The sequence below is a fragment of the Homo sapiens genome, chromosome 1 (assembly GCF_000001405.40).
Source record: "Homo sapiens chromosome 1, GRCh38.p14 Primary Assembly".
NCBI lineage: Eukaryota > Metazoa > Chordata > Mammalia > Primates > Hominidae > Homo > Homo sapiens.
Window position 1 is genome coordinate 201,834,745 of NC_000001.11, and position 27,106 is coordinate 201,861,850.

Below are 27,106 nucleotides of genomic sequence, written 5' to 3' on the forward strand. Positions count from 1 at the left end.
AGTCACAGAGAATACATTTTTCTTCCCTTCTACCACCATTATGTTGAACAGGGGAGGGGGGAAATTATCTCTCCCTCACCTTTCCTGGCATTCAGATGCTGCCGAGATACCTGTATTGATTTCCCCATCTTAGATGCCTAGAGAGATGATCCTGCTGGCTGGAAGTTTGCTTTCTGGTTCTCATGGGCACTTTTCTGGCTCTTTTGCAGTATAGCGTAAGCACTGTCCACCTGCGAAGGGCGCCCCTCAAGGATCCAGACGCACTCCTGGGCATGTGGCGGGCACTGAGCCGAGCGGAAGGCGGCCACGCTCGGAAAAAGGCCAGTGGTGGAGTTTTCTTTTTCCTTTCAGCTGTGGTTTTGTGGTGCTTACCAACTCCCATGAGAAATAGGGGGCTTGTCCAGGGGGTCTACTCAAAACCGCATCCTTCTCCAACAATCCCTGTTCACAATTCTTATTAGTTGACTGTCAAAGTACTGCCAAGTCTTGTCTCTCTAGGAGACCCTTCAGACCAATAGCATGTATTTCTTAAGTGATCCTTTATCCTCCATGCTCTCCTTTGGGTTTTCCCTTCTAAACCAAGTTTTAGATAGATAATGTTTTTGCCATATGGGGTGATAAGAGAGAAAGGGGAGCAAGGATAACGAGAGGGAAGCAAAAGACTAAAAGAGAATGAGACTAGAGAATGAAAGAGGGCAGAGGATTTCTTAGGAAGTCAAAGGATGCCATTTTGGATAGGAATAAAGGTATAATTAAGGAGAATCTAGAGTCAGGGTGAAAACCCAGATTAACAGAATGAACTGTCCTTATTTCACCATGGGAAAGGGAACTAGAGAAATTAAATTTCCTAACAAAAATAGCTTTAGAAAACAACTTCATATAGCCCTCTTGGCAGTGTTGCCCTTTGGCTCAACTTCATAGATTGAATGTTAGTTTAATCTTAAACAGTCGTTTCCAAGCAAAGCAAAATAAAGCGGATATTTATGTCTGTGTTTCTTATATTTTCCCTGCCTTCATCATCCCAGAGTAAGTTATTAGGCTATTCTTTCTCATATTTTTAAAGACATTGTGTTAAAGACACCAGGCCGGGCACAGTGTGGCTCACTCCTGTAATCCCAGCACTTTGGGAGGCCGAGGAGGGCGGATCACAAGGTCAGGAGATCAAGACCATCCTGGCTAACATGGTGAAACCCCATCTCTACTAAAAATACAAAAAAATTAGCCAGGCGTGGTGGCGGGCGCCTGTAGTCCCAGCTATTCTGGAGGCTGAGGTAGGAGAATGGCCTGAACCCGGGAGGCAGAGCTTGCAGTGAGCCAAGATCACACCACTGCACTCCAGCCCTCCAGCCTGGGTGACAGAGCAAGACTCCATCTCAAAAAAAAAAAAAAAAAAAAAAAACAGACACCAATCAGTAAAACCAGAAGTCCCCCAACACACACACACGTACTTTTTTTTTAACAAATATACTTAGTTGTATTTCAAAAAATATTGTATCTCTGTTAAGTGAAAAATCTGTAAGTAGGGTTTTACTACGTAACAGAAACCAATGGATAGGAGCAAATGTGTTGATCAGATTTAAAATAAGGCCAAGAGCTTTAGAATTATTTTCTGGCTTTTCCTTCTTTGCATTAGTTTGTTTCTTAGTTTGTTTTTTAATTGAGACAAGGTCTTGCTCTGTCATCCAGGCTGGAGTGCAGTGGTGTGATCATAGCTCACTGCAGCCTCAAACTCCTGGGCTCAAGTGATCCTTCCATGTTAGCCTCCTTAGTAGCTGGGACTACAGGTGTGCATCACCACACCCAGCTAATTTTGCATCGGTTTTATAGCACGGAGTTTACCATCAACATCATACTCCTTGGAAACAATTATTTATATAGCTTTTAAGTAAACTAAAGTATTATGGGTATGACACTCTTAAATGGTGAGTGATATCCTTGTATTTCTAGTAGGTATGTGGTCTAGACAGAATAAATTGGGTTAAGTAAAAGAATTTTGTATTTTCCCTCTTTCATCCCCCTATAACCTAATGCAAATAAGCTCTTTGTCTTTGAATTTTTGAGGCTTTGAAACATGTGGTCATGTTGGACATGTGGTCATAATTTTTGAAACTGTAGGGGTCTGTAGAGAAGGAAATCTGTTCATCTATTTTATTTTAAAATTTGTCTTTAGTTAACAATGATGATGTTATTTGAAGATTTTCTTTGCCATTATATATCTGCTTTTGAGCAAATATATGTTACTTGAACTTTAATGCTGCTTCTTTCATGCGTGAAAGAAATTAGCTTTTAGAAGGAGTCCATCTTAAAATACTTGTTGTAGGTACAGATCCCTTGGCTAACTTGGGTTTTTGGCCCCTACGTTGGTCTTAATCTTCTGATGATCTCTTATTCTCACCATCCCTTCCAGTCTCAGTGATGTGTGAAGCAAGGTGGTTAGTGGAATTTTGTATATGATCTTTGATAGGTTACCAGACATGATTAACTTATTACTGTATTAGAGTGAAGAGCTTCTAGCTACTGTGATCATCACTGGAGTGCATCCTTCTGGCAGGGATATGGAAAAAATATATTCATGCTAAGCTTTTCTCTGAAGAGAAAAGACTTGGAATTCTCTGGTTGATGAGAAAGGACCCTTAAGCTGTGATAGGACCTATGTGTAAAGTTTGCCTGGTCTTCATGCTCTAATGACTCCTGTGATCAGTGCCAGAGTGAACTGATGGAAAATGTGTGGTTCTTTTTCCCTTTTGTGAGCTGTGAGCCTCAGTATTACCCTACAGCTATATGAATATCAGTGCTTTCATTGGAAGGACAGTTGTTCAGATTTGTTTAAGCTTAAAGTCTTAAGTTTCAAACCCTTCTCAAAAAGTCTCATTCCTCAGTATCTTTTCACACTGTATATTGAAGAATTTCTTCATTTTGATCTTGTTTTAGTTTGTCCCTGTAGTAATGATCCAAAAATTATGCTCTTGCTAGGAACATTAAAAGTCCAAATCATAATGACCTATGGAAAAATTATTTAAATCATGCCTTAAAAGAAAATACTAGGCCAGGCACGGGGGCTCATGCCTGTAATCCCAGCACTTTGGGAGGCTGAGGCGGGCGGATCACTTGAGGTTGGGAGTTTGAGACCAGCCTGACCAACATGGAGAAACCACATTTCTACTCAAACTACAAAATTAGCTGGGCGTGGTGGCACATGCCTGTAATCCCAGCCACTCGGGAGGCTGAGGCAGGAGGATCGCTTGAACCCGGGAGGTGGAGGTTGCGGTGAGCTGAGATTGCGCCATTGCACTCCAGTCTGGGCAACAAGAGTGCAACTCTGTCTCAAAAGAAAAAAAAAGGAAATGCTGTTATGTCCCAGATAATTTGTGAATGTGCTTGTAGATTATTGTGAAGGAAGTTACATAAGGCACACCAGAATTGGTTCACCATGTCCAGGGAGGCCAATCCTGGGTGGACAGTGACATTCTAAGCAGACTTGAAGCCATGAAGTCTAAGTATCATCCATTATCACACTAAGTATCTGAACTCAAAGGAATTGTGGATGCCCTTACTAGTTGTCTTTCTCCTTTAAATGGATTTCACATGTGCATTTTAGAGTGCTTTTTTCCATTGAACTGGAACATTGCTATCCAAGAGATGTTCCTGAATTATCTGACTCATCTGTGTTTTAGAATCAGTTCTGATAGTTGACTCCCATATCTTCGGGTTGTAGATACCTGTTGTTTCTTCTCTTGCTACAAATGGGTTTTATAGATTTAACCAGAGTCTGTACTAACCAAATTAATCCTAAGAATTAGAATGGATTGCAGTATCTGTAGGGGGATTGTGCAAGTTTCAAGTGTTTGCTTGTGATTTAATCATTTAATAACTCTTTCAGAAAGAATGTGGCTTCTTCTGTGGCGGTCATGCCAAAAAAAAAAATCCACTTTCCTGAGTGAAACAATAGGTGCCATAGGAGTGGATCAAAAACTGCAGCTTAAAGGCATAATAAGAATGAATTAAGAATCTAAGAATTCAGTAAAACAGGACATAAAATATAAAAATCAATAGCTTTCACATACACAAACCATAAAAGGTTAGAGGACGTAATGGTTTTTTAAAAACCAAAACCAATTTACAGTATCAACAAAAAAGTAAATGCTTAGGAAATGTGTAAGAACCTATTAGAGGAAACTTTTTTTTTTTTTTTTGAGATGGAGCCTTGCTGTGTCACCCAGGCTGGAGTGCAGTGGCATGATCTTGGCTCACTGCAACCTCCGCCTCCTGGATTCAAGCGATTCTCCTGCCTCAGCCTCCCAAGTAGCTGGGACTACAGGCGCCCGCCACCACGCCCGGCTAATTTTTGTATTTTTAGTAGAGATGGGGTTTCACCATGTTGGCCAAGCTGGTCTCGAACTCCTAACCTCAGGTGATCCACCTGCCTTGTCCTCCCAAAGTGTTGGGATTACAGGCGTGAGCCACTGCGCCCAGCCTAGAGGAAACTTTTTGAGACAAGATTTTGCTGTGTCACCCAGGCTGGAGTGCAGTGGCTCAGTCTCAGCTCACTGCAACATCTGCCTCCCAGGCCCAAGTGATTCTCGTGCCTCAGCCTCCCAAGTAGCTGGGACTTCAGTCACGCACCACCACGCCCAGCTGATTTTTGTATTTTTCGTAGAGACGGGGTTTCACCATGTTGCCCAGGCTGGTGCCTGTAGTCCCAACTACTCGGGAGGCTGAGGCAGGAGAATGGCGGGAACCTGGGAGGCGGAGCTTGCAGTGATCCGAGATCATGACACTGCACTCCAGCCTGGGCGACAGAGCAAGACTCCATCTCAAAAAAAAAAAAAAAAAAAAAAAAGTGCTGCTATGACTGTGTAGCCATTTGGAATTAGACCCATATCTCACACTAGATTTTTTAAAAATAAACTCTAAAATGATTAGGAGTCTAAACAGAAAAAATTAAATCATACAAGTACTAGAGGAAAACATGGGTGATTTTGTCTTTAAACTTGACATAGGGAAAGGGATTCTAAATATGACTCAAGATCCAGAGACAATAAAAGAAAATATTTTATTGATAAATTTGACTACATAAAATTTTTTTACAATTTACATGGGAAAAACACCACATAAAAAATCAAGAGACAACTGGCAAACTGGGAGGAATTTTTTTCCCCACAATGTATACTACAGACAAAAGGATAATACCTTTAATATATAAAGAATTCTTAAAAATTGAGGAACAAAGGACCAAAACAACACTCAGACATACAAAAAGTGTTTAAACTCACTTGTGGTTAGAGAAATATAATCTAAAACAACATTGAATTAACCATTTATCACCTGTCAGGCTGACAAAAAAATTTATTTTATTTACTTTTGAGACAGCGTGTCACTCTGTCGCCCAGGCTGGAGTGCAGTGGCACAGTCCCTCCTCACTATAGCCTCAACCTCCTGGGCTCAGGTGACCCTCCCACCTCAGCCTCCCAAGTAGCCGAGGCTACAGGCATGAGCCACCGTGCCCAGCTATTTTGGTGTTTCACCATGTTGCCCAAGCTGGCCTTGAATTCCTGGGCTCAAGTGATCTGCTTGCCTTAGCCTCCCAAAGTGCTGGGGTTGTAGGTGTGAGCCACCACACCTGGCCAAAAAATTTTAAATATGATAACACATTCTGTTGGCAAGACTGGAAAGATGCTCCTATGTATTGCTGGTAGGAGTACAAATTGGTGCAATCCTTCTGAAGGAAAATTTGATCACACCCAGTAGCTCCACAAATGCACTTACCTCTTGACCCACAATCCCACTTCTGAAAATCTATGCTGAAGACATCTTCAACATTTCAAAAATACATATTCACAATATTATTCACTGCAGCATTTTTATTAAAACAAAATATTAGAAAAAAACTAACTGTCCATACAGAGGAGAGCACACGAATAACATATGGTATATCTACATATATTATGCAGCTGTAGAGAAGAACTTCAGGAATCTCTTTGAACTGATTTGGAAATCCCAAGATATAATGTTAGCTGAAAAAAAGCAAAGTGCAAAAGAGTGTCTGTAATATACTCTTTTTCATGTAAACAAGAAGGGAATATTTAAAAAAATGTGTCTGCTCATTTGTGTAAAAGAAATACAGGAAAGAAAATCAGAAACTGATTTTGGTTACCTGCCTGCATGTAGTGGGTGGGGAATAGTTGTAAAGAAGTGGGTAATGAAAACAAGGTAATAGGGTTGAGGAAGAAGTGGCACTTCTTGGAATATTCCTTTTTGTATAGCTTTGACTCTGAGAATCATGGTAATGTTTCACATACCAAAAATAAATAAATAATTAAAATTAAAATCAAACAATAGGGAGGCACTAAAAATGGAGCAGAAGTAGTAACAAATGAACCTAAATGTTTTACAAATGAATAACATAACTTTTTAGGTGAGAGGAAGAACTAACCTAAGTAACTTTGTAAAATAGTATTTACAAATAGTAAAATAGTATTTGACTGCATCATGTAGGTTACAGTTAAAAAAACTATACACCAAAATTGTAGTTCAATTAATAGGTGTGTTTTTCACAAAGGTATGGATTAATACTTCTGTAATTGCTTTATATTTTAAGATTGAAAAAATAAGTATAGATGATGAGAGCCAAGTGTATCACTGTTAGAGAAAGAAGTTACAAATAAGGGAAGAGTAGAATGAACCTCGAGGTTTGGATTGGCATCTGGGCTATCAGTCAGTATGATAAATGGATGGATGGCTATATGGTTAGGTATACTGTACTTCCTAGCTCTGTTCTCTGAGAACGCCTAGGAATAGTGATACTCCTGTAGCAATGAACATACCTAGTGCTCACATCTTGGTTTCTAAATATAATTCTCCACTAAAAGACAGCAGGGTTCCTTGGAGGAGAAGTTGATATCTTGGCTTGGACAGAGAAAATACAAGATAAGTATAGAATATCTTGTGTATTCAAAAAATAAGGAAGTGCTTGATAAAGAATGGGGATGTATAGAAGTACACAGGAGTTAATTGGAAGGAGTTCCAGTGGCCAAAGCTGGAACAATTTGAGCAACAAAAAAAATAAGATAGTATTGGATTAAAACTCACAGAATAAAATAAATACTTATGAGTTCATATAGGTATAAATAAATATTAGGAAAAACAAACCATTTTTCCTCTGCTCTCACACTACAACAGTCAACACAGAAGACTTCTGTGATCTCAAAAATATGTGGAGATTTCTCCCCACCAGCAAACAAGCAGTCAGTTCTGTAGTGGACACCAGCTGGGTGTCCTCCAATTCAATTCCAACCTGTCTACCTGGAGATAGCATCAGATCCTACAGATTGAAAGCTCAGTCCCCAAAACTGCCCCCACCTGCTTGGATACCAGTTGCAAGTCTAGGCCTCTGGAACTTCTAACAGACCAGCTTCAAGTTGGGGTTCCCAGGACTCCCCTCTTTGGGTTTGATTAATTTGCTAGAGCAGCTCACAGAACTTAGGGAAATGCTTTTACAGATTTTTCTACAAAGGATATTCGAAACGATACAAATGAACAGCCAGGTGAAGAGATACATAGGATGAGGTCTGGAAGGGTGGAATGCAGAAGTGTGTTCTTTGGCATTTTTATGGAGGTTTCATTACCCTACCATGATTGATTGAACCACTGACCATTGATGATCAACTTAACCTTCAGCCCCTCTACCCTGTCAGAGGGTGGGATGGGGGGATGAAAGTCCCAACCCTCTAAGCCTGCCTAGATATTTCCAGTGACCAGCCCCCATCCTGAAGCTACCTAGGAGCTGCCAGCTATCAAGTCAGCTTATTAGCATACAAAAAGACATCACTTTGGAGTTTCTGAGGATTTTAGGAGCTGTTTGCCAGGAAATGAAGTAGAAGACCAAATACATATTTCACAATATCACAGTCCGCCCTTGGGTCTTCGAACCCTGATCCCTTATGTCAATAGGATGTCCAACTCAAAAGATACTGCCACATTACTAGAATCCCATTCAATAATTAATAGTCTAGTTCATCATATTGTATGAGTGTCTCCCAGGGTGAGGCTGCTCAGATTGGCAGGCTTCCTTTCATTCTTGTGAGGTTGCAAAAGCAGAAGTAGTCTTAGCAAACACAGAACTTTACCATTTCATGAGTTTGATATAATTGAGCTAAGAAGCAATGTCATCTCTTGCTCTGAGCCTCTTTTGAGGTGTTAATGTGATATTGGAATCCTCTCAGTTCATAATCCACTTATTCATTTCTTTCCTCTGAGCTACTGTTTCTTCTCTCTTAATAAGTACCCAAACTTTTCCACCTTTGGAAGGAGCATTACAATCAGCCACTGTGATGGTCTAGATTGCAGGCAACAATACTAGTCTAGCAAGTACCTCTTCCTCAGTGCACCCCCTTCAGATAGGGTTAGGTTACAGAGGTGCAGAACTAGTGGGCTATTTTTACTGTCAGGCAATATAGCTGTATTAACTGTTAGCCCCAATTTTGCTGGATGGGGTGAAGGCACAACCCATTCCCATCAGTCCATTAGGAATTCTGACCTAAGTTACAATACGTAGTTAGAATTTCTTGCCTAGGAATCATTCCTGCTTCCAGCACATGTAGTTGCAGCCCTGGTCCTAAGACCATTGCATCAGGTAGGGGAATGGGGGAAAAAAAAAGAAAAGGAAAGTTGAGGTGATGTGCGGGAAAAAAGACAGAAAGAAGTATCTTGTAAGTAAGAAGAGACTGTCTTTCACCTTTATCCTTCAGGAGCTACTTCAGGAACCAAGGACAAAAGCCAAATACTTTTTAAGAAAATATATTCTTGGTCGGGTGTGGTGGCCCACACCTGTAATCCCAGCACTTTGGGAGGCTGAGGCAGGCAGACTTGAGGTCAAGAGTTCAAGACCAGCCTGGCCAACATGGCAAAACCCAGTCTCTACGAAAAATACAAAAATTAGCTGGGCGTGGTGGTACACTCCTGCAATTCCAGCTATTCCAGAGGCTGAGGCACAAGAATCGCTTGAACCCAGGAGACAGAGGTTGCAGTGAACTGAGATAGCGCCACTGCACTCTAGTCTGGGTGACAGAGTGCGATTCTGTCTCAAAAAAAAAAAAAAAAAAGATATTCTTATTACTGTAGTCAGTTAGGAAAGAATAAGGCTTACAGGAGCTGAGAACCAGGAATCATGGATGAAAACCAAAATATATATTTTATAATATTGTAATAAATAAAGGAGAAGGGACAGTACTTCCTTATAAAAGAATTCCAATTAATAAAGTGAAGAGAATAAAAGAAATGCAAAATCACCATTAGGCAGGTAACACCCACAGATGGATGCTAAAATCAGTGGGTGAGACTTTGAAAAGAAACAGGATAATAGCAAAATGTCAAAATATTTCTCCCTAGATTTGGATCAGTTACAAAGGGAAAAACAGTACCTATAAGTAGAGAAACCCAGCAGACCTTGCCATGTGATCAAGGTTACCATAACCAGTAATAAAATTTTTATCAACATTATGTACTCCCTAATATGATATACTGAGAAGGACACAGCATCACTTTCTGGTATTCTTGCCAAAAATGTATAACCTCAATCTAAAACATGAGGAAACTTTAGTCAAACCCAAATTGAGACACGTTCTACAAAATAACTGATCGATATTCACCAGAAGTGTTCTGGTCACAAAAGACAAAAATGAAGACCTGTCACACTTTAGAAGAAACTAAGGAGACATGGCAACCAGATACAATGTGGGATCCTGAAGGAAAAAGGACAATAAGGAAAAAAACTGGTGAAGTTCTTATCAAGTCTAGTTTAGTTAATAGTATTATACCCATGTTAATTTCCTGATTTTTGATCACTGAACCGTGGTTATGTAAGAGGAAAATGGATGAATGATATCCATGAACTCTGTACTGTTCAGCTTTTCTGTAAGTCTTTAAAAATTATTTTGTAAAATATGGACATAGATCATTTTTAGCAGTTATTAACCTGGTTACTTGGATAAGCCCTGAACCTGAAACATTGCATGTAACAACTCTTTCTTGGTATTAAGCTTTTCTATTGTATAAATGCCCTTTGGATGGCTATTTCAGTAGAATCCAATTAAGGTGGAACATAGATGGGAAAGCCAAACAGTGTATTCATGATAGACAATAAAAAATAATAGCAAAATAACTTATTTTTGTTTTCAAGTTTTTACCAGTATGGCAGATATTGTACAAAGCATTTTACATATATTATATTATTCAGTCTTAAAAGGATTGCTTGATATATTGATACCAGTATTTTTTTTGGGAGGGGGGGGCGTACAGAGTTTCCCTCTTGTTGCCCAGGCTGGAGTGCAATGGCGCAATCTCGGCTCATCGCAACCTCTGCCTCCTGGGTTCAATTAATTCTCCTGCCTCAGCCTCTCGAGTAGCTGGGATTACAGGCATGTGCCACCATATCCGGCTAATTTTGTATTTTTAGTAGAGACGGGATTTCTCCATGTTGGTCAGGCTGGACTCGAACTCCAGACCTCAGGTGATCCGCCCACTCCCACCTCTCAAAGTTCTGGGATTACAGGCGTGAGCCACCTTTCCCGGCCCTGATACCAATATTCTTATTTTGTGGGTGAGGAAGCTGAGGTTTAGAAAGGAAACTTACCTAATGACAGGCATGGTGGCTTCAGGATTTGAACCTAAACAGCCTGTTCTCTTAATCACACCAATCCATAGCTCCCTCCAAAGGGAAGTGATGAGCCTATTGTGACCTATGTATCTACCAGTAGTAAGCAAGTCTAGAAAACTGCTGTTCATTCTTTAGCATAGTGCTGTACAACAGAAATATAGTATGAGTCATGTGTGAAATTTTAAATTTTCTAGTGGCTACATTAAAAAGGCAAAAAGAAACATAAAATTAAATTTTAACTCTATATTCATTTAACCTGATATAGACAAAGTATTATTGCAACATTTGATCAATATAAAAAGATATTTTCCTCTTTTTTTCACACTGTTTGAAATCTAGTGAGTATTACATTTATAGGCATCTCAAGTCTCACCAGCCACATTACAGGTACTTAGTAGCCATTGTGACTAATAGCTACTGCATTGGATAGCACAGCCCTACAATGTGAGATGTAAAAATTATGATGCACTGTTGGTTTTACATTCTTCCTCCTCTTTTCACAAAGAAATATTTGACAGTTGACTCCTTTGCAAGTATATATTAGATCTAAGTTCTAATTTGGAGCCAGGCACAGTGGCGTGCATCTGTAGTCTCAGCTACTCGGGAGACTGAAGCAGGAAGTACATTTGAGCCTAGGAGTTTGACACTGCAGTGAGCTATTACTATGCCACTGCACTCCAGCCTGGATGACAGAGTGAGACCCTGTCTCTAAAACAAAATTTATTTTAGTAATCATTTTTTAAAAATAAATTTTAATTTGGAAGTAAGAGTTACTTACAGCCTCCCAATGTGCAGTTCAAGTTCCATTGCTTATTGGAAACTACTCATTTGTAGGACTAAGTTTGTTGAAGCCAGGTTTTCTTGGACTTAATCAGCTCATAACTGGTGGCATATATCTGGACAACTCGTGAAATCTCACCTTTTAAGTTGTCCTCAGGAATAGATGGTCCCATGATATTTTGTTTTTGTTTTGTTTTGTTTGTTTGTTTTTTGAGACGGAGTCTCGCTCTGTAGCCCAGGCTGAAATGCAGTGGCACGATCTCAGCTCACTGCAACCTCTGCCTCCCAGGTTCAAACAATTCTCTGCTTCAGCCTCCCAAGTAGCTGGGATTACAGGTGCCCGCTACCATGCCTGACTAATTTTTTTGTGTTTTTAGTAGAGACGGGGTTTTCACCATCTTGGCCAGGCTGGTCTTAAACTCCTGACCTTGTGATCCACCTGCCTTGGCCTCCCAAAGTGCTAGGATTATAGGCATGAGCCACTGCGCCCAGCCTGTTTTGCTTTTTTGAGATAGAGTTTTGCTCTTGTCTCCCAGGCTGGAGTACAATGGTGCGATCTCAGCTCACTGCAACCTCGTCCTCCTGGGTTCAAGCGATTCTCCTGCCTCTGCCTCCCGAGTAGCTGGGATTACAGCCATGCATCACCAAGCCTGGCTAATTTTGTATTTTTAGTAGAGATGGGGTTTCACCATGTTGGCCAAGGTGATCTCAAACTCCTGACCTCAAGTGATCCACCCACCTCGACCTCCCAAAGTGCTGGGATTACAGGCGTGAGCCACCACGCCAGGCTCCATGTTTCAATTACCACATTAATTGGTCTAAGAGGAAGGTGTTGTCATCTTGGAAGAGAAGATGGCTGGAAGGTGCTATGCAGTGACTGGAAAAAGTGTAAGGGTGTTGAAACTTCATTGTAACAAGGCATGTCCTGCAAGCCAACTTGTTTCTTTTACTTGGAGGAATCAGTCTTAGCAGTTATCAGCTCTTTTTGAAACAACAGATTAAGTTTCTTTCTGGAATCTTGTTGGCATCAGGGTTAGAGCTTAGTAAATTTCTATGGCTTTCCTAGGTACTCTTAGACTCAATAAAATTTTCTCTTTCAGAATTTGGTGTTCACTTGGCAGAACTGACTGTAGATCCCCAGGGGGCACTGGCAATCCGTCAGGTAAGTCCAGACTGGCCCAATTTATAAATAGTTTCCCTTTCCTTGGTAATGAAACTTTCTTATAGGAAAGAAAAATAAGGCCAGTGTATAAATAACCTAGGATGTTGTGCCAGATTTAGATATACTTCAGATGTATCAGGCTATGTATATAGTTTTTATGTGTGAAAAAAATCTTTTTCTTGCTGTACTACTTGGCTTATTCTCTTCACAGCTGGCATCAGTCATCTTGAAACAATATGTGGAGACTCACTGGTGTGCCCAATCAGAGAAATTTAGGCCTCCTGAAACTACAGAAAGGGTAAGTCAGTTACTTGATTAGTCTACCTGAGGAGATTTGAGGGTCCATTTTAAGAGATTAGACTATAACATTCTTTGACAGCATGGAGCAATCAAAAGACTAGGCAGAAAAGGAGATTGGTGGCTGGCATTGCGGGCATAGGGCTATACATTAAAGAGCTCAAGTATCAGGCTGGTCTGTGTTCAAATTCCAGTTTTGCTTTTTACAAGCTATGAGATCATTGGAAATGTAGTTAACACCTAAGCCTCAATTTCCTAAATCTCCAAAGTGAGAATAAAAATACCAACTAAGGGTTTAAGAATTAAATGAAATAACATTTGTACTTAGTGCAGTACTGTGCAGTCATCCTGAGTCCCCAAGAAATTTTGAGGTATAAGGTCTGGAGGAATGTTTTCCACTGGAGCTTTATGCAATTATGGAAATATTCTGTGTCTGTGCTGCCTAAAACAATAGCTACTAGCTGCATATGGCTGTTGAGCACTTAAAATGGGGCTAGTGCAACTGAGGAACTGAATTTTAAATTTTTTAAAATGTTAATAGCTATGTATAGCTAGTGGCTACTGTAATGGACTGCATAAGTTTAGAGATCACAGATGAACCCTCCAAATGAATTGTCAAGTTTGTGTATAGGAGTTTTCTGTAGACATGCAGTACCTTGTACTCATTGTTTTTCCAACACAGTTCCCAATTGAACTGGGCTCTGCCAGTCACTTTTAACCTGATCTAATAGCAGGTGGACTTTTATCCCTTACAGGCAAAAATTGTTATCCGGGAGCTATTGCCTAATGGGTTGAGAGAATCGATAAGCAAAGTGCGCTCCAGTGTGGCCTATGCAGTGTCAGCCATTGCCCACTGGGACTGGCCTGAAGCTTGGCCCCAACTCTTCAACCTGCTCATGGAGATGTTGGTGAGCGGAGACTTAAATGCCGTCCATGGAGCCATGCGTGTGCTGACAGGTACCAGAAGCCCTTTTCCCTGGTATTGGTACTTGGATCTCAAGCGACAGGAGTATTACCAGAAGCTATGTGATATAATGGCCTGGACCAGTAGGAATTGCTGCTGATGTTATTCCTCCCTCCTAGTTTTTATCTCTCCATCTACCCTCCAGCTCTATTGTTTTTTTCTAGGGAATTAAGTTTGTATAGTATTACTTCTACTCCCAAACCTACCACTTACAGATACAGTATTAGCATAGTGATGGAGTATTCAGATTTTGGATTTTTGTAGTGGCTTCACCTTGATCCTTCACTTACCTTCTTTGAGCCTGAGTTTCCTTTTATATAAAATTAAGATGATAGTAGTGTCTGCATCAAAGGAGCTTTTGGTATAGTTTAAATGTTAGCTAATCTATCTTTATTGACTTGTTCAGTAAAGTTTAGTTACTATGATTATCATTATTACTATATATTATTTGTCCACTTAGTTCAACCAAGGCAAAGTTAAGAATTGTAAAATGGATTTTTATAGAAGTATTTAAAAAGAAGATAAAAACAGTATAGCCATGTAATCCTGACCTTCATTTAGCCAGTTAGAGAATATGTAGTCTCAGTATCTTTTCCTTCTCTCTGTTCTGAGAAGTTGATAAAAATACTTCAACTTTTAGTTCAAAGAGATTTGATGGATATCTCTTCTAAACCTGATTAAGCTATCAATCCCTCCCAGAATCTGCTTTCATATATCCTTAGGGATGGCCTGAGTTTCCCAGTCCTTTGCAAGTTCCTCCCTGCTTCTTATTCCCTAAATGAAGTCACTACTCTGTTTTGCCTTCAAGAAATTCTTACCTGGACTTTAGTCATCCTGTACTGATCCTTTAGAAATCATCTTTCTCCTTTGTTCATATAGGTTTGTAGAAGTCCCACCAATATCTTATCTCTTTTTCTATGACCTGCTAGCTTACCTGATATGTATTCTTGCTTAGTTGTGAATGCCAATTCTATTCTTTCTCAATCTCAGTTTACTGAACTTGGCACATAGGCCCAATTTTGCTAGTCCATGTGATGTTAATGGTAGATAATATCAACTCTTTGTCAAATGCAAATCTTTCTTCTCCTTTTGTTTCAAAATGACCTCTTCTCAGACCCCAGCTGCCTTTTTGAATTACCCACTATATTCGTATTGATTGCCTGTGACAAAGCTTCAGTTTTTAGCTCAGATACCGAACAGACTTACCAAAAAGATCAGAATGTTCCTTGCTCAGATTTTGACTTCTCTGCTTATTGCCCTTTCTTCTGCTTAATGACTCATTCATTATTCAGGTGATTTCACACACCCCTCTGCATGGAATTGGCCTTTTAGGATTCTTTATTCACCACTTCATAGTGCCAGGATATCAATTAACAGATACATGTTCTACCAAGGAAAGGAAGCCTGTTCCCTCTCAGTCTTCCAAGATGAAATTCAGGTTCTTTTGACAAACCTAGAGAGAAAGGTTTTGTACATTTATCTTGATTTGGATGCTGAAGAGCTCTTATTGTGTTTGACTAAGGAAATTACTGTTCAGTGAGATCACTTTTCTGCCAGCCACAGGGAAAGAACTGTTGGGGGAAATTTGTCTCCTTTTGTAATGGAGTCACCAGACATGGAGTGGCTAGCAGCCAAGCCCCATTCCCAAATACTTGCTCCAAATATTTTCAAACGAGAGTAGACTGTACTCTGACAACAAAAACTTAGGCATGCATGAAGATAGCAGGACATTGGTGGTTGGACAGAGGCCCATTAGGAGAATGGGACTGATTCTTTTCAGAGTTTTTCAAGATACTATACCAGTTTCCCTTTAATGAGGCTTCCTATTAAACTTATCTATTTATAGATGAGAACCAACTAAGGCTCATGGTGTAAAGGAAATGCAAATATAGCAGCTAAGGATTAGAAGATTTGATCCACCAGATACAGCTTTTTCTTCGTTCTCAAAGAAGTTTGGAGATTGAGATGTTGCTGGAGTCCTAGAATTTTTCTGACTTGCTGAATCACCTCAGAAAACTTTTGGAATTAAACCTATAAAGTATTAATAAATTGATACCAGGGATGAGTATAGGAGAGTAAAAAGCAGTCAAGCACTTTATTAGCAGAATTAAATTATACTGTATTTTTCATAAAACTTGTTATTATGCCATCTATCATATTTGTTTGGACTAATTTCCTTGAATTTCTAAATAAAATAGAACACTCACCATTCAAAGCTCAGACTTTATCCTTGAGGAGGAAATTACAGCTGTAAAGAAAATTCAACCTTGAGTATTTGATCTTCATTTGACTCGTGGGGATTGATATTGTTCAAAATTGTGGAGTACCTTAATCTTGAAAATGCCAGCTTGCGTTTGTAGCTGTGTATCTTCCCCCAAAATGTCCCAAGTGGTTAGCTTTATTTTTAGTTTTATTTATTTATTTATTTATTTGAGACATGGTCTCACTCTGTCACCCAGGCTCAGGTACAGTGGCACTGTTGTAGCTCACTGTAACCTTGACCTCCTGGGCTCAAGCGAGCCTCCTGCCTCAGCATCCTAAGTAGCTGGGACTGCAGACACATGCCACCACATGCAGCTTTTTTTTTTTTTTTTTTAAATGTACTGGCAGATCTTGCTATGTTCAAGCTGGTCTTGAACTCCTGGCCTCAAGTGATCCTCCTGCCTCAACCTCCCAAAGCTCTGGGATTACAGGTATAAGCCACTGTTCCCGGCCCATATGTCCATTTCTATAGTGATAACGTGGAAAAGCATCAGGTAAAGTGGATAGTTACTGGAACTCAAGAGCTTTATTCTGCTGCTTTGTAACATGAATCCAGGGTCCTTTGTGCTGTCTCAGTGCCTTGTGTGTGGTGTATTTGGTTTTTTTTTTTTTGAGACGTGAAGGGAAAGATACGACCCATATTTCCGTCACCTTCGAGTCTCATTCTGTGTATAGGTTGCTTTTTGTCACATTTATATAGAAAATTCCCATTTGTTCCAGTTAGCAGCAGCCTCTGACTTTTAGGTCAATAAAATCTGAGAAGAGTAACATATACAAAGAGGAGTTGAGGCCTAGTAAGTCTGTACATATTTTATTACATGCATCAAACCAGCTTGCCAAGCGAAAGTACTGAAAACAGAAGCAAAGGTAAGAAACCTCGAAGTGTAACTGAATGTTGACAGATGGGCACAAGATAAATTAATACAGAATTTTCCCAAGTTGACCTCACAAGGACTTTTATGCAGTTCTATTACAGATTTTCTTTCAGTATTTATATTAAAGTTTTCTTTTTTAATCTCTTGTATTTTTCTTTATTTCCATATTATTCTTTCTCCTTCTAACAAATAATCAGTAACTCTTGCTACTTTTGCTTTCACAGAATGAGACCACCAGGCCAGTGTCTTTACCTGTGTGCTGTCTGTTTGGGAACTGCCACCTAGAAGCAGTTCAGAAAATATCACACTTAATATCTTTATGAAGCAGTATTTTTTTTTTAACAGTACTACTTTTTTCTTTGTAGAATTCACTCGTGAAGTAACAGACACACAGATGCCACTTGTTGCTCCTGTCATTCTCCCAGAGATGTATAAGATCTTCACCATGGCTGAGGTATGAAATCTCAGCTCCAAGATTATAGTGAGTTCAGGCTCTCTTCAGCCCCCAGCCTTTCAGGTGGGAGATTATGGTGTTTGCAACTGATCTCAATACCTAAAAACTAGAACTGACAAAGATCTGGATCTGAATCTGCATTAACCTTAGACCTTTCACTCAACTACAAGGGCAAGCCTTTGATAAAAGTGTGAAATAGCTGAAATATTTCTTCACATATCGTACTTCCTGGCATCCAGTAGCCCCTAAGTAGATAAATAGTGCCTTCCTTCATGCTACTTCCAGCCTCTTACTGAGTTATCCCACCTACGCTTGCCTACCTCAGCTAAGTAATGGGAAGCAATCTATCACTGCATTGCACATAATAGACCCTTAATATATTGCATATATATTTGATTAGTGTGTATATGAATGATAACTCATTTATAGTAAGGTATAAATACCTGATGGATAATGTTTTAACTTCCCTATTCCCCTCTGCCCCCAACCAATGGTCTGCATTTTAAAGGAAATATATTGGCTGTGTTGGGATTTTAAGCACTACCTAGTCTGGTATTTTTTAATCAAATGAACCCACAGAGGCCCTTATATAAGGTTCATTCCAGTAAGTTCCAACATTATGATTCTGCTACCTTTCATTCTCTGAATTACAGAAGTCTGCCTCCTGGACATAAATGAATTACATTTCCCATTTCTCGAGGGCATCCAATCTCATGTGAGGATTCATTAGTCATAGTTTTACTTCTAGTCTGAGATACACACATACCTACACACTCCAGTCTCGTGGCTATGCTGTTATGCTGTAACCTTTCTTCCAGGTGTATGGTATTCGAACCCGTTCCCGAGCCGTGGAGATTTTTACCACTTGTGCCCATATGATCTGTAACATGGAGGAGCTGGAAAAGGTAAGCAGGTCTTTGGATCAATAACAGACTTCATGCTTAAAAGTTTTATTCATGCAGAGCAGTGAGTCATTTCATGATAGCAGCACGAAAAAGCACACTAACCAGTATTAGAGATAGATTTAACATTTTTATTAAATTATTGTTGTTATTTTTCCAGACAGGGTCTTGCTCTGTCACCCAGGCTGGACTACAGTGGTGCAATCATGGCTCACTACAGCCTTGAACTCCTGGGCTTAAGTGATCCCCTGACCCCCAGTAGGAACTACAGGTGTGGTGTGCACCACCACACTTGGCTGATTTTCTTTTTTAAATGTTTGTAGAGATAGGGTCTCACTGTATTGCCCAGGCTGGTCTTGAACTTCTGGGCTCAAGCAGTCTTCCCCCCTCAGCCTCCCAAAGTGCTGGGGTTATAAGCATGAACCACAACACTCAGCTATATTTGTATTTTTTTTATTTATTTGGGTTTTTTTTGAGACAAGATCTTGCTCTGTCACCCAGGCTGGAATGCAGTGGCATGATCATAGCTCACTGCAGCCTCAACCTCCCAGGTTCAAGCAATCCTCTCACCTCAGCCTCCCGAGTAGGTGAGATCACCAGCATGTGCTACCACTCCTGGCTAATGAATGAATGAGTGAACGAATGAATTTATTTATTTATTTAGAGATGGAGTCTCGCTCTGTCACCAGGCTAGAGTGCAGTGGTGCAATCTCAGCTCACTGCAACGTCCGCCTCCCAGGTTCAAGTGATTCTTCTGCCTCAGCCTCCCGAGTAGCTGGGACTACAGGCACGCGCCATCATGCCCAGCTAATTTTTGTTTTGCAGTAGAGACAGGGTTTCACCATGTTGGCCAGGATGGTCTCAATATCTTGACCTCGTGATCCACCCACCTCGGCCTCCCAAAGTGCTGGGATTACAGGCATGAGCCACCATGCCCAGCCTAATGAATTTATATTTGTAGAGACGGGGTCTCTCCCTATGTTGCCCAGGCTCATCTTGAACTCCTTGGCTCAAGTGATCCTCCCACCTTGGCCTCCCAAAGTGCTAGGATTATAGGTGTGAGCCACCACACCTGGCCTGATTGAATTTTCAACTTGTAAAAAGCTTAGTCTTCTTTTGAGTCTTACTTCTTCAAACACCTTATCCTATATCCTTTTCATAGTAGTCATCCCTTAGAACTTTCCTACTCTTTTATGGCCCTCTTGTGTGAAGCAAAGCTAGCTGAAAAATACCAATCCCTGTGATTCAGAAGCAGTTAGGAGGAAAGTTGGTCTTACATAATAGTTTTTAAGAGGGCTTTGATGAAGAACTGCAAGTGCTGGTTAAGGAAAAATGAAATCTTAGGTAACACCTTCATTGACTTTATAGCTATTCTCTTCTGATCAGGCTTGGAGCCTGAAGAGAGCTTTAGGTGCCTTTCAAATATCAGTGTTTGATATATATGTGTTGAAGCCATGGATTAGGGGTTTGTCCAGTATTGACTTTGGTTTCTGTTATCAGGGTGCAGCCAAAGTCCTGATCTTTCCCGTGGTACAGCAGTTCACAGAGGCCTTTGTTCAGGCCCTCCAGATACCAGATGGCCCCACATCTGACAGTGGGTTTAAGATGGAGGTCCTAAAGGTAAACACTTACTACCAATGAAATATTTGGAGTTTGAGGGGCTGGTCTGAAATCATTTATTTCTTATATATCACTCATAACTTGGGTCCTTTTCTCTTAACTTCTTAGGCAGTGACAGCCCTAGTGAAAAACTTCCCAAAGCACATGGTGTCCTCCATGCAGCAGATTCTGCCTATTGTTTGGAACACCCTAACCGAGAGTGCAGCTTTATATCCTTTCTTGAAAGTTTAAGGGAGCTACTACCACCTATAGTTAGGAATCTCGCACTGGGTTTCACATTCATATGGTTCCACTCTTCTTACACAGGCTTTTTTAAGGTGTCTACTTTTAGTGTTGGAATATGTAACATTTCCATGTAGATTATATGTAAAGCAGACTCCAAATTCTATTTCTTTACTCTTCATCATACTTATGTGAGGACAGAAGTAAATTACACAGAAGAAGTAGAAGATCCTGTGGATTCTGATGGTATGTAGTTTATTTGATCTTTATAGAAATACCAGTTAGTGGGAAAAGAAAAAGAAGCCAGAGATGGGGGCGGGAAACAGTAACTTGAGAGGCTTCACTCTATTAAGTGTTTTCTAATTCAGTTTATTTTCGATGTATTCGATGTGGGGAAATGAGAATTGACAATCTTTAATCTGTTCCACATAGGTAGTTGCATAAATCTCATAAAATCATAGAATTTCTGCATTGGAAGAGATACTTTTAAGGCCATTTAATCTAGCCTACTTCTGGCATTTTGTTGTGTTTCATTTGGGGGTCCCAGATCATGAATCTTTCGTTTCTGTTTTAACATTTCTCATTATTTCAGATTAGAACAATAGACATACTGGAAAATATATCCAGTGTTTCTGATTCTTTTACTTGAAAAACCAAAGAATATTTAATATCCTCAAAATTACGTTTTGTGACCTCTGAGCCCTCTCTCCCAATTCCTCAGGAATGATCATTAGCAAGTACTTTAAATATTCAGTAATTTACAAAGGTTATGTAGTTCATTTTCTGCATATATGCTTTCCTTTTGCTTTCTTGTCATTAATTTCTTCTCTTCTGTATTTCCTGCAGGTGAAGTCCTGGGCTTTGAAAATCTCGTCTTTAGCATTTTTGAATTTGTCCATGCTCTACTAGAAAATAGCAAATTCAAAAGCACTGTTAAGAAAGCCTTGCCTGAATTGATTTATTATATTATCCTGTACATGCAAATCACTGAGGAGCAGGTAAATAATATTTGAGAGACAGTTACCATCTTGTATTTGGAAAGTGCAACTTGAAGAATATGAGGTCTTGGTCAGGTGAACACTTTATTTCTAAAAATAGACACAAAAAGAATAATTTCATGTGAAGTTCTGGGAAAGGTTTGACATCATTTTATTGCCAAATCCAAGGTTTTGGAGTTCACCACCATACCTGGCTTTTTTTTTTTTTTTTTTTCCCAGCAAAGTACTATACTATGTTGCCCAGGCTAGTAGTCTCTAACTCCTGGGCTCAAGCAATCCACCCACCTTGGCCTCTCAAAGTGCTGGGATTACAGGCATGAGTGACTGTGCCTGGCCCACTTTTGCCATTAGAAAATCTCACAGGACCACTAACCTAAGACACTGATTTTTAGGAGAATCTGTTCCTTCCCTAAAGTAAAATGTAATAATCAGACCATTAGCCTGATGGTGGGTCATCAAAAGCAGCAAAGAACGTTCAAAAATTAGATAACGCCTCGTTTAAAACAGCACAAGAATTGACATAATTTTCACAATAAATAGTCTATCAGACTTAATCTATTCAGAAAATCGATCTATCAAAGGGTAACAGCAGGTTGACATTGGCAGAGAGCTAGTAATCAGCCAGATTCTAAAAGAGAGCAATAGCCATTGCTACCTACCTTGCTACTTAATAGTATTTATTTCTCTACATCAAAAAGAAAAGATTTTTTTAAGCTAGAGTTTTTGTTTCAGTTTTTGTTGTTGTTGTTGTTTTGTTTTGTTTGCTTTTTGGGACAGGGTCTTGCTGTTTTGCTCAGGCTGGAGTGCAGTGGTGTAGACAAAGCTCACGGCAGCCTTGACCTCCCAGGCTCAAGCCATCCTCCTGCCTCAGCCTCCCGAGTAGCTGAGACCACAGGCATATGCCACCATGCCCAGTTGACTTTTTTATTTTTTGTAGAGGTGGGGTCTCACTATGTTGCCCAGGCTGGTCTCAAACTCCTGGGCTCAAGCAGTCCTCCCACCTTGGCCTCCCAAAGTGTCAGGATTACAGTTGTGAGCCATTGCATCCAGCAAAAGGCTAGAGTTTTTTCAGGATAATAGGTTGAAATCTTCCTGTATCTGTTGATGAAAAGCTATGAATCAGATTGGCAGCATCACAAAGACATAACTTGATCTTTTCAGATTAAAGTATGGACAGCCAACCCCCAACAATTTGTAGAAGATGAAGATGATGATACATTCTCCTATACTGTTAGAATAGCAGCTCAAGACTTGTTGCTGGTAAGTTTACCTTGATACTTCAGCCACATAATTTCTATCAGTCACTTGAGCATTTCTTCTTTTTTGTAGACAACTAATCCAAGGTGAGCAGTGTTGTTGGGTGGCTTTATCTCAGACTTTATTGGGGATGCAAGAGAGTTTCTGAAATGAAATTCGAGACTCAGAAATTCTAAAATCATTGCTACTGGTTCTAACTTAAAACTAAATATTAGATAAAAGAATTGTGCAGACCATAGGGCCGGGGTGCGGGGGAGAATTGTATAGAGGATAAAGTGTTCCATGGAGTAAGGGTAGTTGAATCAAGAACATTTCAGTTTATGGCTGGGCGTGGTGACTCACACCTGTAATCCCAGCACTTGGGGAGGCCGAGGCGGGCAGATCACCTGAGGTCCAGAGTTCAAGACTAGCCTGACCAACATGGAGAAACCCCATCTCTACTAAACATACAAAATTAGCCGGGCGTGATGGCGCATGCCTGTAATCCCAGCTACTCGGGAGGCTGACGCAGGAGAATTGCTTGAACCCGGGAGGCGGAGGTTGTGGTGAGCCAAGATTACACCATTGCGCTCCAGCCTGGGCGACAAGAGTGAAACTTGGTCTCAAAAAAAAAAAAAAAAGCCATTTCAGTTTAATTCACTCTTCAACAAGAATCTATAGCACAGACAAAAGGTTGGCAAACCTAGCAAAACAAAACAGATTGCTGAAAGATTAACATCCAAATACCTGCTCATGTTTTCTTTGCCTCTTCTGACTAGAGCATAGAGTTGTCTCTAGGCTGAAATACTAAGAAGAAACTGCCACTTGCTTCTTGTTGGGTAGGAGATTTGTTCTCTGTTGATGAATCACTTCTCATTATCATTTAGTATTTCTAAGGAGCTGTGAAAGATTATATTCAGTTCCAATTAGTAGATTAGACTTATTTTTCTATCATCAGTCTCCAAGAGAGCAAATATTTGGTCCATTGTCATCCAAAGCTAGATCTATTATTGCTCACTTATGCTCTGCTGAATATAGCCAAAGGAGCCAACTGGTTAGCCTTACAATGCCTAGGCACTACCGAAATACAGATACTACTTTAATTTCATTAGAGACCCTGACCTACTGGTATAACATTTTTAATACAATTAGGGGTTTGCACATGTATGTGAAAGAGCTTGAACCAATCACTTCTAACAGTCATGACTGAAGCGGTTTACAATTAAAATGCATTTAATGGGCACAAACAGATTTATTAGCTCTTCTCTCTCTATAGGCTGTGGCCACAGATTTCCAGAATGAAAGTGCAGCAGCCCTGGCTGCTGCAGCCACTCGACATTTACAAGAAGCTGAGCAAACCAAAAACAGTGGCACTGAGCACTGGTAAGAGTGAGCCGCTAATTGGTTAAGATGCTTTTGTTTACCCCTTCTTAAAAAGTCTTGAAAGGATGGATTTATTTTTATCTTAATTTGAAAATCTGGTTTTAATTTAATAACAGATTTTAATCTCTTATTATTAAAATTTCACTCTTTTCAGCTATAGGTTAGAATGGAAGGGCTTAAGGTAAATGACTCTTTTGGAAGAGATTGTGCTGGAGTGCCCTTTTCTGAATCTTGTTTCCTCAAATATTTATCTCTTTTGGCAGTTTAGTATGTTTTACTAGGCTGTAGTATCCTTTCACAGGTGGAAGATCCATGAGGCATGCATGCTTGCCCTAGGCTCAGTGAAGGCCATCATCACTGACAGTGTGAAAAATGGCAGGATTCATTTTGACATGCATGGGTTCCTGACCAATGTCATCCTTGCAGACCTCAACCTCTCAGGTATGTTTCAGCACGTGCCAGGATTCTAGAAACTCTTTAAACCTGTTGTGGGGTTGGGGGAGGGATCAGCATTAGGAGATATACCTGATGTAAGTGACAAGTTAATGGGTGCAGCACACCAACATGGCACATGTATACATATGTAACCTGCACATTGTGTACATGTACCCTAGAACTCAAAGTATAATATATATATATATATATATATATATAAAGGAAACTCTTTAAACCTGTCATTAACTTGGTTATATTGTTCACTTAGACTGGTAGGCCAGATATTCTTGTGTCCTTTGAGTGAAAATTGTTTGCACCCTACAGCTTGAACTCATCCGAACCTCTAAAACAGCCCAGAGGCCGATTCAAGCTTCACCTAATGACAATCTAATATTGCCTAGTTCATAATTCTTCCGTGATGTTTATGTTTCTTCCCAAATTGGCGTTCCCATTCATGGTTGTTTTTGGCATTTGAATGGAATCCAAATCTGGTTGCTGTACCTTGAGAATTATCGAGTACTGCTCCCATTGTTAAGTCCAGAATGCCCTCAGGCATTCTGTATCAGGCACATTCTTCCTGTTTGTTTCCTGTCATTTTTCTCAAACTTTATTTTTGGCCAATATCCAAATAATTAAAATGTTCCATTCTCATACCCATGTTAGCCATCTGTCTTAAAAAGAAAAAAGTAGGCCAGGCGCGATGGCTCATGCCTCTAATCCCAGCACTTTGGGAGGCTAAGGCAGGTGACTCACCTGAGGTCAGGAGTTCAAGACCAGCCTGGCCAACTTGGCGAAACCCCATCTCTACTAAAAATATAAAAATTAGCTGGGTGTGGTAGCAGGAGCCTGTAGTCCCAGCTACTCAAGAGGCTGAGGCAGGAGAATCACTTGAACCAGGAGGCAGAGGTTGCAGAGAACTGAGATCACACCACTGTATTCCACCTTGGGTGACAGAGCGAGACTTGGTTTAAAAAAAAAAAAAAGGTAGCCCTTTACTATTAGACCGATTTCTTCCGCAATACAGAGCAGTAGCTGAGAATCATTGTTGTCTATGTGGCATTTTCTGCTACTTGCTTCTGCCATGCCATGCCTTTTCTCATCCTTGGAGCCAGATCACCATCCGAAAACACTGCCTTTGCTTTCTCTCTCAGTACTTAAATCATGGAACCTTTGGTATTGTTTGCTCCATTTTCGGTCCATTTACTTCCTCTCCATAGGATAGTTCTGGGAGTAGCTTATGTCATTTGAAAATGTTCTGCTCTGTGATTTTAAATAGGTAATCTATTATCGGGTGTCTCAGTCCATCACTTCCATTCTCTGAATCACAAATTAAAATGGTTGTACATCCAGAGCTCAGATGCGTTGGGAATATCCTGTTTCACTCTGTACTTATCATATGCTGCATTGTTGAATATGTTTTCTTACTCCTACTAGTAAGGTCTCTGAGAGTAGAAATCATGTCTAATCTTTGTATCCTACAAGTGCCTTGAGTAGGCATCCCATAGTTACACATTGAATGATTTCTGAAGCCCATCAACACATTTCTTATAGAGTTTACCCTAGCAAAGATTTTTCAAAAACTTTGGAAATTTTAGAATATTTGTTATTTAGTCTGGAAAAAGGCTCAATATATATCATTTGTTAATCCTACCTGTAGCTAAAACCTTTTCTACACCAACCATTCTGAAACTTTTTGGTTACAAATTATCAATAATTTAAAAGACATTTTTATGTGGCTTTAATTTATTAATATTTAACATACTAAAGATTAAAACTGAGTTGTTTTTAAAATAAAAGAAATGGAAACATGTTTTCCCCTGGCTGTCAGAGCCATGATATCACATACCATATAACCTCTGGAAAACTCCACTGTATACTTGTGAAAGAATGAAAGTGAGGCCGGGCATGGTGGCTTATGCCTGTAACCCCAGCACTTTGGGAGGCTGAGGTGGGCGGATCATGAGGTCAGGAGTTCGAGACCAGCCTGGCTAACATGGCCTAACCCCATCTCTACTAAAAATACAAAAATTAGCTGGGCGTGGTGGCACGCGTCTGTAATCCCAGCTACTCAGGAGGCTGAGGTAGAGGAATTGCTTGAACCCAGGAGGCGGAGGTTGCAGTGAGCCGAGATTGTGCCAGTGCGCTCCAGCCTGGGCAACAGAGCGAGACTCTGTCTCAAAAAAAAGAAGGAATGAAAGTGAAAAAAATAATGTTTCTGTATTACTGTGAAAATAGTTTTAACTTTAGGGAATTTCTGGACCATCCTTTGGGAACTGCTTCTGTACATTATCAGTTTCTCACTTACAGTGGTTGGACTTATGATTTTTCATCTTTACAGTGATGCCAAAGCAATATGCATTTAGTAGAAATTATACTTCAAGTACCCTTACAACCATTCTGTTTTCACTTACAGTATAGTATTCAATAAATTATATGAGATATTCAACACTTTATTATAAAATAGGCTTTGTGTTACGTGAGTTTGCCCAACTTTACGCTAATGTAAGTGTTCTGAGCATGTTTAAGGTAGGCCCGGCTAAGCTGTGATGTTCAGTATTAAATTTAAATGCATTTTTAACTTACAGTATTTTCAACTTACGATGTGTTTATCAGGAAGTAACCCCATCATAAGCAGAGGAGCATCTGTATTGCGTAATTTGACTGGCACAGTTTATTAGGTTCTGTTCAGTGTTTTCCGTCAACAAGATGTTTATTGTGTGAGTAAACAAGTTAAGCCCTGTGACAAGCTGAATAAGAATAGTCTCTCCTCAGCAGCTTATAGTAAACAAGGGTAGTAATCCTTACATTAGTGGCTAGACTATCAAACGAAATATATAACATGTAAGAACACTAAAGACAGAA

General features: G+C 39.9%; 1 protein-coding gene across 1 annotated transcript in view, besides 2 other annotated features; it reads left to right on the forward strand.

Annotated features, from left to right (window-relative positions):
* IPO9 (importin 9) overlaps positions 1 to 27,106 on the forward strand; it is a 55,135-nt gene that overhangs the window by 5,588 nt on the left and 22,441 nt on the right. The window contains exons 2-13 of the mRNA NM_018085.5: positions 12,535 to 12,596; positions 12,808 to 12,894; positions 13,649 to 13,850; positions 17,360 to 17,448; positions 18,267 to 18,353; positions 19,851 to 19,970; positions 20,079 to 20,179; positions 20,380 to 20,438; positions 21,039 to 21,190; positions 22,352 to 22,450; positions 23,703 to 23,809; positions 24,111 to 24,250. Of these exons, the coding sequence (NP_060555.2) occupies positions 12,535 to 12,596; positions 12,808 to 12,894; positions 13,649 to 13,850; positions 17,360 to 17,448; positions 18,267 to 18,353; positions 19,851 to 19,970; positions 20,079 to 20,179; positions 20,380 to 20,438; positions 21,039 to 21,190; positions 22,352 to 22,450; positions 23,703 to 23,809; positions 24,111 to 24,250 (1,305 nt within the window). The remainder of the gene's footprint in view (positions 1 to 12,534; positions 12,597 to 12,807; positions 12,895 to 13,648; positions 13,851 to 17,359; positions 17,449 to 18,266; positions 18,354 to 19,850; positions 19,971 to 20,078; positions 20,180 to 20,379; positions 20,439 to 21,038; positions 21,191 to 22,351; positions 22,451 to 23,702; positions 23,810 to 24,110; positions 24,251 to 27,106) is intronic.
* Positions 4,357 to 4,651: an enhancer, noted in NCBI's record as "tiled region #12270; HepG2 Activating non-DNase unmatched - State 15:Elon, and K562 Activating DNase matched - State 5:Enh". NCBI's record gives its function as "activates a minimal TATA promoter and a strong SV40 promoter by Sharpr-MPRA in HepG2 and K562 cells {active_cell/tissue: HepG2 | K562}" and the evidence as "EXISTENCE:reporter gene assay evidence [ECO:0000049][PMID:27701403]".
* Positions 19,737 to 20,031: an enhancer, noted in NCBI's record as "tiled region #11581; HepG2 Activating DNase matched - State 14:Gen5'". NCBI's record gives its function as "activates a minimal TATA promoter and a strong SV40 promoter by Sharpr-MPRA in HepG2 cells {active_cell/tissue: HepG2}" and the evidence as "EXISTENCE:reporter gene assay evidence [ECO:0000049][PMID:27701403]".